At 40.0% G+C, this 12,710-nt stretch overlaps 1 protein-coding gene across 24 annotated transcripts in view; it reads left to right on the top strand.

The window, feature by feature from the left end:
• Positions 1–12,710, top strand: part of EML5 (EMAP like 5) — a 180,523-nt gene that overhangs the window by 13,516 nt on the left and 154,297 nt on the right. Inside the window, exon 1 of one of the 24 annotated variants that reach the window (XM_011536534.4) lies at positions 12,651–12,690. The exons of the other annotated variants lie outside the window; for them this stretch is intronic. The gene's annotated coding sequence lies outside the window, so the exon portion shown is untranslated. Of the gene's footprint in view, positions 1–12,650; positions 12,691–12,710 lie in introns of those variants that run through there. 24 annotated transcript variants of the gene reach the window in all.

The raw sequence follows: 12,710 nt of genomic DNA, 5'->3' as shown, positions 1-12,710 counted from the left end.
TTATATAAACTGTTGATACTATTGGACATTAAGTAATTAGCCATAGGTCTCATAACTTATCAGTGGCAGAAGGCAGGATCTGGTTCAGTTCCCTTTCTGTTGAGTAAATCTATATTTCTGTGCTATATTTAAACTTCTGATATGATACTCATAGTTTCGCTTTTTCTTTATGGCTTCAGGAAAAAAGATATTAGAAGAAGGCTTTAATCAGTCAAGATAGACTAAATTTTGGTATGGTAACAAATATCCCCAAAACCTGGATTGCTTAATAACGAAGGTATATTTTTCATACCCATCATTAATTAGTTTCCCTAAGGGTTCTGTTCTTTGTGGTTACTCTTGAACACAGACTAATGGAGCAGTGATTACCTTGAACATTGATGGTTGCTTGCGCCAGAAGAAAAGAGAGCTCCAAAAATTCTCACATATACAATCTACAATCTAAATGCTTTAGCATGGAAGTTTCATCACATAGGCTCCTAACTCATTTGAAAGAAACCCCAAAAACTAATAACATTGTTCCAACCAACCACAAAGAAGCCCAAAAATGAAATCCTGTTATATGCTTAAAAGGGAGAAAACCCAAATATCTTTGATAAACTGCATTATTGATCCCTGAAATATTTAACTTACCACTTTGTTTTGTTTTGTTTTGTTTTTGAGATGGAGTCTTGCTGTGTCGCCAGGCTGGAGTGCAGTGGCGCATTCTTGGCTCACTGCAACCTCCGCTTCCCTGGTTTAAGTGATTCCTCTGCCTCAGCCTCCTGAGTAGCTGGGACTACAGGCGTGCGCCACATTGCCCAGCTAATTTTTTGTATTTTAGTAGAGACAGGGTTTCACCATGTTTGCCAGGATGGCCTGGATCTCCTGACCTCGTGATCCACCCGCCTCGGCCTCCCAAAGTTCTAGGATTACTGGCGTGAGCCACCACACCCAGCCACTTACCACTTCTTAACCTTCCACAGTTCTATGTCCAGAAACAGAAAATAACAGAATTGTCAATATAATATATACTTAACAGGGCAAACCACAGTGGCTTCTGAGAAAAGTCGTACACTCAAAATTGAAGTTTTTAACTCTTGTGTACCTGAAGAGAGCCCCAAACTTGCAGGAATCCATACAATATTAAACAAATCTTTATTGTTATTGATAAGTAAGAACTTTCTCTTGCTGTTTTGTTATTTGTTTTCTTGTTGTTTCATTGTCTTTTTTTTCCTTCTTTCGTTCAGGTCTTATTTTAGTTAAGGTGATGTTCTCTGGTGATATGATTTAGTTTTCTGCTTTTTATTTTTTGTGTATCCATTTTATGTCTTTTGGTTTGAGGTTACCATGAGACTTGCAAATACTATCATCCATTATTTTAAGCTGATAACAACTTAACACTGTTTGTATAAACAAAGAGAAAACAAAAACTCTATGCCCTAACTTGGTCCCCTCATTTTTAAAAATTTGCTGTATTTTTTGAGACAGGATGTCACTCTTTTGCCCAGGCAGGAGTAGAGTGGCACAGTCTTGACTCACTGCAGCCTTGACTTCCCAGGCTCAGGTGACCCTCCTACCTCAGCCTCCTGAGTAGCTGGGACTACAGGTGTGTGCCACCATGTCCAGCTAATTTTTGTAGTTTTTGTAGAGATGGATTTTGCCATGTTGCCCAGGCTGGTCTTGAGCTCCTGGGCTCAAGCAATCTGCCTGCCTCAGCTCCCAAAGTGCCGGGATTACAGGCATGAGCCACTGTGCCCGGCCCATCCTCCTGCTTTTTAACTTTTTGTTATTTCTATCTTATTGTACTGCGTATGTCTTAAAAAGTTGTTGTAGTTATTATTTTTATTGGTTCATTTAGTCTTTCTACTTAGTATAAGAGTAGTTTACATACCACAGTTGCAGTGTTATAATATTCTGTGTTTTTCTGTGTACTTACTATTACCAGTGAGTTTTGTACCTTCAAAACCCACTTGGGATTACTTATTGCTCATTAATGTCCTTTTCTTTCTGATTGAAGTGCTTCCTTTAGCATTTCTTGTAGGACAGGTCTGGTGTTGAAATCCCTCAGCTTTTGTTTGGGAAAGTCTTTGTTTCTCCTTCATGTTGAGGGATAATTTCACTGGATATACTATTCTAGGGTAAATTTTTTTTTACTTCAGAACTTTAAATATGTTATGCCACTGTCTCCAGGCTTGTAAGGTTTCCACTGTAAAGTCTTCTGCCAGATGTATTGGAGCTCCGTTGTGTGTTGTTTCTTTTCTCTTGCTTCTTTTAGGACCCTTTCTTTATCCTTGATCTTTGGGAGTTCGACTATTAAATGCCTTGAAGTAGTCTTTTTTGGGTTAAATCTGCTTGGTGTTCTATATCCTTCTTGTACTTGGATACTGATATCTTTCTCTAGGTTTGGGGATATCTTTTTCTGTTGTTATCACTTTGAATAACCTTTCTACTCCTGTCTCTTTATCTAGCTCCTCTTTAAGGCCAGTAACTCCTTTATTTGCCCTTTTGAGACTATTTTCTAGATCTTATAGGGGTACTTCATTGTTTTGGTTGTTGTTTCTGTTTTTTCATTTTTGAGACGGGGTCTTGCTCTGTCACCCATGCTGGAGTGCAGCAGTATAATCTCAGCTCACTGCAACCTCTGACTCCCAGACTTAAGTGAGCCTCTCACCTTAGCCTTCTGAGTAGCTGGGACTACAGTCATGTGCCACTATGCCCAGCTAATTTTTTTTTTTTTGGTAGAGACAGGGTTTTGCCATGTTACGCACGTTGGTCTTGAACTACTGGGCTCAAGCAGTTCACCTGCTTCGACCTCCCAAAGTGCTGGGATTACAGGTGTGAGCCACCATGCCCGACCCACTTCATTGTTTTTTATTTTTTCTTTTGTCTTCTCTGATTAAAATAACCTGTCTTCAGACTCACTAATTCTTTCTTCTGCTTGATCAATTCTGCTATTAAAGGACTTGGATGCATTCTTCAGTATGTCAATTGTATTTTTTCAGCTCCAGGATTTCTGTTTGGTTCTTGTAAATTATTTCAGTCTCTGTTAAATTTATCTGACAGAATTGTGATTTCCTTCTCTGTGTTATCTTCAATTTCTTTGAGTTTCTTCAACACAGCTATATTTTGAAGTCTCTTTCTGAAAGGCCACATCTCTCTGTTCCTCCAGGATTGGTCCCTGGTAGCTTATTTAATTCTTTGGTTAGGTCATGTTTTCTTGGATGGTGTTGATGCTAGTAGATATTCTTTGGTGTCTGGGCATTGAAGAGTTAGGTATTGTTGTCTTCACTATCTGAGCTTGTTTGTACCTGTCCTAGGGAAAGCCTTTCCAAGATATCTGAAAGAACTTGGGTGTTGTGATCTAAGCTGTATCTGCTTTAGGGGGCACCCCAAGCCCAGTAATGCTGTAATTGTTGCAGACTCATAGAGGTGCCACCTTGATGGTCTTAGACAAGATCCCGGAGAATTCTCTGGATTACCAGGCAGGCACACTCTTACTCATTTCTCTTACTTTCTCCCAAACAAATGGAGTCTCTCTCTCTCTCTCTCTTCTGAGCCACCTAAAGCTGGGGGTGAATGACATAATCACCCTGTGGCCACCACCACTATGATGGTGCTGGGTCAGACCTGAAGACAGCACAGCACTTTGTCTTGCCCAAGGCTTGCTGTAATCAGTCCCTGGTTACTGCCTATGTTTGCTCAAGGCCCTGGGGTTCTACACTCAGGTGGTAAAGCCGGCCAGGCCAGTGTGCTTCCCTTCAGCGCTGTGAGTTCCCCCAGGCTTGGGTGGGTCCAGAGGTACCATCCATGAGTCAGGGACTAGAGTCAAAAACCTTAGAAGTCTACCTGGTGTTCTGTTGTACTGTGGATGTGCTGGCACTCAAACCACAAGGCGCAGTCCTTCCCACTCTTCTCTCTAAAGACAGAGGAGCCTCTCCCTACAGCCACTGCCTGCCACCACAGGCCATGGAGAGCACTACCAGACTACTGCCAATGTTCCCTTAAGGCCCAAGGGCTCATAAGTCAGCTTGTGGTGAATGCTGCCTGGTCTGGGACTCACTTTTCAGGGCAATGGGCTCCCTTCTGCCCCAGGGCAGGTCCAGAAATGCCATCTAAGAGTCAGGTTCTGGAATTGGGGACCCAAAGATCCCACTTGGTGATCTACCCACCCCTATGGCCATGCTGGTACCTAAGGTACAAGACAAAGTATTTACTTTTCACTCCGCTTTTCTCAAGCAAAAGGAGTTTCGCCCCATGGCCACCACAGTTGATAATGTGCTGTATCCTACCTGAAGCCAGCAAGCCTCAGAGGCTCACTTAAGGCCCTTGACATAGTACCCGGGTATTGCTACTGGTTATTCAGGGCCCAAGGGCTATTCAGTTAGCAGGTGGTGAATGCTGCCAGGAGTAGGTCCTTCCCTTCAAGGCAGCAGTTTCCCTTCTGTCCCAGGGAATAAAAATGTCGTCTGGTAGCTAGGGCCTGAAACAGGGGCCTCATGACTTTGACCAAGCAACTCTGTTTTAGAAGTGTTCTATTTGAGATTATCTGATAGACAACCAAGTGGGGTTTTAAATTAGGCTGTTGAACATACATGTCTATAATTCAGGGAAGCAATCTGAGCTGGTATAGATTTGAATGTTATCAGCATATAGACAGTATTTAAAGCCATGAACCTAGATGAGACCACTGAAGGAGTGAGTTTAGATAAAGGATCTAATAAATGGATTCCTGTGGCACTCCAACATTTTAATGTAGGGGAGATGAAGAACTGACAAAAATGTGGCCAGAGAAACACGAGAAAAACCAAGAGTATAAGATCATGGAAGTCAAGTGAAGAGAGTATTTCAGGGAGAAAGGAATTATCAGCTGTGTCCAATAAGATGAGGACTGCTTCACCTTAGCGAAGTTTTGCTATAATTATATTGTAATCATAAGACTCCCCAAAAGACTGTGTATGCCCAGGGGAAAAGGAAGAGCAGGAAGAAGATGAGAAAATGAGTCATGTCATTATTGGTACACAAAACTAGCCTCTTTCAAGATTCGTTCCAATGTATAACTATTATGTATTCATAACATTTCTTAAAAACAGATTTGTTCCAGCAGTTTCTGCTTTACTTGGTTATTAAAAAAATGACACATAGCTGGCAGCCCTGGATCGTTGCTTCTGAAAAGTGTGGTCTTCAGACTAGCAACGGCATCACCTGGAAAGTTACTAAAAAATACGAATTATCTGGGCTCATTCCAGATCTACCAAATTAGAAACTCTAAGTGTAGAGCCCAGTAATCAGTTGTGTGGTTTTGTTTTTTGTTTTTTGTTTTCTGTTTTTTGCTTTTTTGAGACAGAGTCTCGCTCTCGTCACCCAGGCTGGAGTGCAGTGGCATGAACTCGGCTCTCTGCAACCTTTGCCTCCGGGTTCGAGCGATTATCTTGCCTCAGCCTCTCAAGTAGCTGGGACTACAGGCACCTGCCACCACACCAAGCTAATTTTTGTATTTTTAGTAGAGGTGGGGTTTTACCATGTTGGCCAGGCTGGTCTTGAACTCCTGACCTCTGGTGATCTGCCTGCCTTGGCCTCCCAAAATGCTAGGATCACAGGCATGAGCCACTATGCCCGGCCCCAGTAATAAGTTTTTTATCACCTCCAGGTGATGTTAATATAATCTAAAGTTTGAGAACACTGCTCCAGATTCCTGATTCTCAACCCTGGCTGCTTAATAGAAAGTTAAAAGAAAACAAACAAAATAAAACCACCAATGGCCAAGCCTTACCCAAAGAAATTGTGATTTAATTTGTTTAGGTTGGGGTCCAGGTATCGTTTGTTGTTTGTTTCTGTTTTTAATTTTTAAGCTTCCCAAATGATTGTAATATGCAGGCAGGGTTGAAAACCACTGCTCTGGATTTAATAGTAATCCATGTTCAGGTGCTGGCCTAGGAGTCAACCTGAAAAAAACCTCAGGACCTAGCCAAATCCACTCATTTACTATTATGCGTTATATGACAATGTGGGTAAGTACTGGGACCTCCTTAAATACTTTGGGCTTCTTGCCTAAGGCCCTCCCACGCTGGATATTCCCTGTTTGGAGATTTATTACCAAGCAAAGTTTTTGTTTTCTATTGGTGGATCTGTTCAGTGTCATCATGAGCTGAAAACACCGAAAGACAGATATCCTGCATTATCAGTCCAGAAAAATGCTCACTCACAGGGAACCTGGAAGGTCATAATTATGTGCATCCTGTATGATATCAAGTGAGGTGTACTATGACCCAGTGCCTCAGGTGATGATTTCAGCAGACTCGTGGAGTAGCTGCAGTGGGTTTGGCTGAATTTAAAGGTAAACTGGATTGTTAAAAGATCAAGTAAAACATAGTGCCTACCTTGTAACACTGGCATGCAGATACCTCCGAAGGAGTAAGCATGAAGGGAAACATGAAATAATTAGAGTAATGGACAGAATATGTTGGGATGACTAGGAGTAGTTAGGGAGAGCTTCTCTGAGCAAGTTATATTTGCCCCAAAGCATGAATAATATGAATGCGGCAAAGATTTGGGAGGTCATTCCAGACAAAGACTTTGATAGCATAATGAGCTTGGCCATTTTAAGGGATAGAAAGGCCAGTGTAGCTGGAGTGTAGTGAACAAAAGGAAAAATGGTAGGAGCTAAGGTTTGAGAAGTAGGTGAGGGTATACCTTTTTTTTTTTTGAGATGGAGTCTTGCCCTGTCGCCCAGGCTGGAGTGCAGTGGCAGGATCTCGGCTCACTGCAACCTCCGCCTCCCAGGTTCAAGCGATTCTTCTGCCTCAGCCTCCCCAGTAGCTGGGATTACAGGCACGCACCACCACGCCTTGCTAATTTTTTGTGTCTGTAGTAGAGACGGGTTTCACCACGTTGGCCAGTCTGGTCTTGAACTCCTGACCTCGTGATCTGCCTGCCTCAGCCTCCCAAAGTGCTGTTACAGGCATGAGCTACCTCGTCCGGCCGAAGGTATATCTTACAAAGGCTTGAAAGTGCCATCTTAGATGGTTCAGGTTTCATTCTAATTCGGTAGGAAGCTATTGGGTTTTTACCGAGGTAAATGATGAGATCAGATTTATGTTATTTTTAAAGATCACCTGGCTATGTTGAGAAAGCTCTAAAGGGAAGCAATAGAGGAATAATGGTAGGTAGACAGAAGGCTACCGAAGTAGTTGTGATGTAAGATGAATGCTGGTTCAGATTAAGATTGTAGCAGAAATGACGGTGATGATAGAGCCAGTAGGACAGGCTAATAGAATGCATGAGATGAGTGAGGAAAAGATAAGTAGTGAGGATGAAATTTAGCTTCTTGGTCTGAGCAATTGAATGGATGGTGATATCATTTACTAAGGCAAGGAGGAGCAGATTGGAAAGGTAAGGAGGAAATCAGATTCTCTTTAGGATGAGTTAAATTTGAGGAATGTATCCATTGTGCTGACCTAGAGATACAGGGTTGGGAGTTATCACAGTCTATATGCATTTAAAGCTGTGGGATTGGATGAAATCACCTGGGAAAGGAAGGGAAAACAGCCAAGACAAAGCCCTCATACACTTTAATATTCAGAGGTGGGGTGCAGGAGATAGTGCCTACCAATGGAGACAGAGAAGGAAGGGCTGATAAACTGTGAAGTCAGGAAGCCTAGAGAGGAAAGTCTTTCAAAAACGTGGGTGGTCAGTTATGTCAAACACTACTGAAAAATGGAGGGGAATAAGGACATACAGTTTATCATTAGGTTTGGCAATGTCATACATGACCTGGAAAAAACTGTTTCAGTGAAGGAGAAGAGATGAATGCCTACTTTGAAGTATGTTAACACAATAAAGGGAGTGAAAAAGATGAGACACCTCTTTTGAGAAGTTTTGCTTTGAATGAGGAGCAGAGAAATGGGATGATGGGTAATTGGTCAAGGGAATTGTTTTTTAATGGGTATATTTGAATGGTAATAGGAATGACTCAGTAGTGAGGAAGCAATAATTCCAGAAAGCATAGTTCTAGGAGTAAAGTACTTGAAACTAAGGAGAATGGGACCTAGAACACAAGCGGAGAGTTCAAGGAGTATAGACATAAAGAGAAGTCAGAGTCTGCCAGTACAGTTAGATTAGTGAATTTCATGGGAATGAAGTATCTTCTTTAATTCGATCTATGTTAATCATTAAGTACAAGACAGGCTTATCTGCTGCAAGGCAGAGGTTGATAGGGGGGAACTGTGCTCATGTGAGAGTTTGGAGGTTGAGAAAAGGATGCACATTTACCAGCTAAGTGTTTAATAGAGTTCTCTACTAGTGTACAGTGCTCATTTGAGATGTGTGAGATAAATGTAAAGGAACATTGATATATTTGCATGTAAGAATGGAGATTTATGAGGAAGATGATAGCTCACTTTATGTTTGTTTAACATGTTATTTCCTTATAGTTATGATAAATTTAGAGATTAAATACTTAAAGCAACTTAATATGTAATTGTGGGATTTGATGACAGTGCTTATATCTAATTAATTTCCATTACTCAGCAATATTAATAGGAAGAAGAACTTTAAAAAAATCTGTTCTTTCCATATATTTCAGATGATAGTGTCACAATATGGATGGGTAATAATCTTGTTAAATGTTTTAGAATGGGAATATACCCTCAGATGATTACATCTGTCATTTGTCTCCCAAATTAATCCATAAATGTTGAGTTTTTACTATATGTTCAGCAATATACTAGGCATTATGTGGATGAAACTTAACTGTAAGATATTAAGTTAACCTGAAGGATACCTGAACAACACTCATGCTTTCATTCTCATTAAGAAAATTGGACCAATCGGAAGAGAATCTTCAGATTCCAACTGTCCAAAAGCAATACATTCAGCTCCTATCCAATATTAATCCTGCTGCTTGTGTACTGGATCCCACTCTTTTTTCCCTGTTTCAGAAACGTTCTTATCTTAACCTACATCAGCATTTTTTCTCTGTACTGAATGGTCTCTTGTCAACAAATGATGTGAAAAACAACTGAATATCTATTATGAGGAAAAAATGAACCCCAGCATATACCTCACCATATATAAAATTTAAAAGGTGAGAGGTAAAACTATAAAATTTCTAGAAAAAGCATAGGAAATAGAACACAAAAAGCATGAATTATAAAAAGTAAAATTATAAATTGAACCTCATTAAAATAACTTATCAGACCTCCAGGTAAGTGAAGACAATGGCAGGTATGTAGTAAGTAACCTCCCAAAATCTCTTCTCCAGACTTTCTGTGCAAACCATAGCCCCAGCATTACTTAAACAGAGAATACCAAAACTGCAAAATGACTGTAAGTAAAAAGAGAAAAAGAAACAAATTTCAGCGGCCGTTTCACAAGCGCTCTTTCCTCTCCTCTGCTGCTGAGCTTTGTTGCGAACAATGAACCTAAATGACTGAAAAACAGTGTCTTAACAGTATCTTAACTGTAAGGATAAAGACCAAAAAAAAAAAAAAACTGCACATAATGCTGTAATCTAGTTAGTAAAATTGTCCTCCACAGGGCTACCAATTCTGAACTGTCTTTGTGTCTACTAAAGTAAATAGACCATAGATTATGAGAGCCTAGTTTCTCACTCTTGGAGTAAGAAGTTATAAATAAAGGGAGAAGTCTTAAATGAGCCCTGTGGTTTCGGATTAGAATCTGAAGTGTTGATACGAATTCATGATTTTCAAATACTTAGATACAGAATGTATCTATGTATACAGACTATAGAATGTATGCATGGGTTAGTATACATAACTATATTTCCTAGTTGAGACAATCTGGCGTGTCACCTATTTTTTGTAAATAAGGTTTTAATTGAATTCAGATATGACTATTTGTTACCTCAGTATTTTACAAGTGCATTTCTATTACTGCCCCCTAAGGAGCCCTTTTAGATATTGTCTTTTCTCTAAACACCTGTATTAGTCCATTCTCACACTGCTATAAAGAAATACCTGAGACTGGATAATTTATAAAGAAAAGAGGTTTAGCTGGCTCACAGTTCTGTAGGTTGTATAGGAAGCATAGCAGTTTCTGCTTCTGGGGAGGCTCAGGAAGCTTCCAGTCATGGCAGAAGGCAAAGGGGAGGCAAGGCACTTCACATGGCTAGAGTAGAAGGAAGCGAGGTGGGGAGATCTCATGAGAACTCACTATCATGAGAACAGCACCCAGAGGAAGGTGTAAACCATTCATGAGAAGCTACCCCATGATCCAGTTATCTCCTATCAGGCTCCACCTCCAGCATTGGGGATTACATTTCAACATGAGATTTGGTTGGGGACACAGATCCAACTATATCAATGCCCTCACCCACTACAAAATTTTAATAGCTCAGATATGCTATATATCAGTTCCTATATTGAATGTATTTCTGTGCTTTATGCAATCAGACCTCTATGCATTTAAGAACTAATTTTTGCCCCTTCGGAGATGATATTGCTCCCAATGGGAATGCATGGTTTACATATTATCTATGGCTGATTTAGTGTTATAATAACCCAGTTGAGTAGTTGTGACAGAAACTGTATGGCCCACAGAGCGTAAAACATTTACTCTCTAGCCCTTTCCAGAAAAAGTTTGCTAACTTTTGAAATAAAATATTCATGAGTTCAAGCTGATATAAATAGATGGGTTAAATAAATAAATAGAAAAGATAACTTCCTTGTAGTAGAATTCTAATTAATAAATGTTGAAGAAAAGAGAGAAAAAAGAGAATCACATTATAGGCCAGGTGCGATGTCTCACGCCTGTAATCCCAGCACTTTGGGAGGCCCAGGCGGGTGGGTCACCTGAGGTCAGGAGTTCGAGACCAGCCTGACCAACATGGTGGAACCCCGTCTGTACTAAAAATACAAAAAATTAGCCAGGTGTGGAGGCGGGCACCTGTAATTCCAGCTACTCAGGAGGCTGAGGCAGGAGAATCACTTGAACCCTGGAAGTGGAAGTTGCAGCGAGCCAAGATTGCGCCATTGCACTCCAGCCTGGGTGACAGAGCGAAACTCTGTCTCAAAAAAAAAAAGACAATCACATTACGGAAATATTTTAGTAGTAAATGTTACTGACAGAATCCGCCAATAGTTGCTAAAATTAGTGGGTGAAAGTTTGAGGAGAGAAATAGGATTTGCATAGTCTCACAGTATCTCCCCTAGCATACTTAGTGACTACAAAGAAAAACTTTGTAGTATCTTTACAGTGGCATGTACTGTTTAACCAAGGGATCGAGGTAAACATCATCAGTAATATTGACACCCTAAACCTTCTGATACGATGTGGAAAGAAGGACAAATGTAATTTTTGTGGTATTTTTACCCAAAATGCATAACCCCACTTTAATCATGAGAAACCATGACAAATCCAAATTTGGAGACATTTTCTAAAATAACTGGTTAGTATTCTTCAAAAGTTCCCAGGTTATGAAAGGAAAGGAAAGTCTAAGAAAGTTTTATAGAGACTGGAAGTTGCTAAGGAGGAATAACAGTTAAAATGCAGCATGGGATCCTGGATAGGATCTTGGAACAGAAAAGAGACATTAGTGGAAAAAATGGTGAATTTTTGAATAAGGTTTTTAGTTTAGGTAATGATATTGTACTAATGTTAATTTCCTTCTTCTTCCCGATTACTATATGGTTATGTAAAATGTTTATATTGTAATGAAGTGTGATGAGGGATACAAGAAAACTGTACTATTTCGTAACATTTTTATAAGTCTCAAATTAGTCCAAAATAAAACACTTCTTAAAAAAATTAAAATCTTTTGCTCTTTTAAATATACCATTAAGAAAATTAAAAGGTAGGCCACAAGCAGACACACATATGCAAAAAAATACAGTTGAGAAAAGAATTGTACCAAGAATATATTAAGAACTCTTACAGTGTAACAATATTATGACAAATAATTTAAAAATAGGAAAAATGCTTTTTGTCCAGAGGCAGGCCCAGTTGTGGGAAGTATATGATAGTATGCAGAGGCTAACATCCTAGACTCTTAGCTCCAGTATAATGAAAAGGGACCTCTGGGAGCTGGAAATTATGGGGAAAATTGTAGGGGGTACGGAGCTCAAGAAGGGCATCTTCATAAGGGTATAGTTGACTCACTTCTGTGCTGCATGTGCAGGAACTGCCTGCATATCAGGCGCTTTGAGAACTGACCTACAATCATCCAAGTTTCAGATTTGCCCCTTTGGTGTGTGTACATGTGGTAGCACTGCAAAGACTTTAAAACTGAACTAACATTGGGACCCCAGAAGGAGGGCAGGGATATGTACCTTGAACCTAATTGGATTGCTTGTCTGCTGAAATAAATAAAAATATCAGCATTCTCTGGAAAATTTTAAGAGGATTCAGAGTTTATAACTTAATATTCGAAGTGCTCAGGATATAACTGAAAATTAGCATATAAAAATTACTAAAATCTCAACAATTTATACAAGAAAAGACAACAGTTGTCAGCCCCAGGATGACCTACATGTTGAATTTATGAAAGAATGTAAAACATTTGTTATAACTGTGTGCTATCGGGGGAAACCAGCCCCCGATACTCAACGTGGGTCCTTTTCTATTTTCCCTAAGTGTCGGCCAGTCTGAGAAATAAAGGGAAAGAGTACAAAAGAGAGAAATTTTAAAGCTGGGTGTCTGGGGGAGACATCACATGTTGGCAGGTTCCGTGATGCCCCTCAAGCTGCAAAACTGGTAAGTTTTTATTAGTGATT

Source organism: Homo sapiens, chromosome 14 (assembly GCF_000001405.40).
Source record: "Homo sapiens chromosome 14, GRCh38.p14 Primary Assembly".
NCBI lineage: Eukaryota > Metazoa > Chordata > Mammalia > Primates > Hominidae > Homo > Homo sapiens.
The sequence above is the reverse complement of the archived record's forward strand: the minus strand, read 5'-3'. Positions and strand labels throughout refer to the sequence as shown.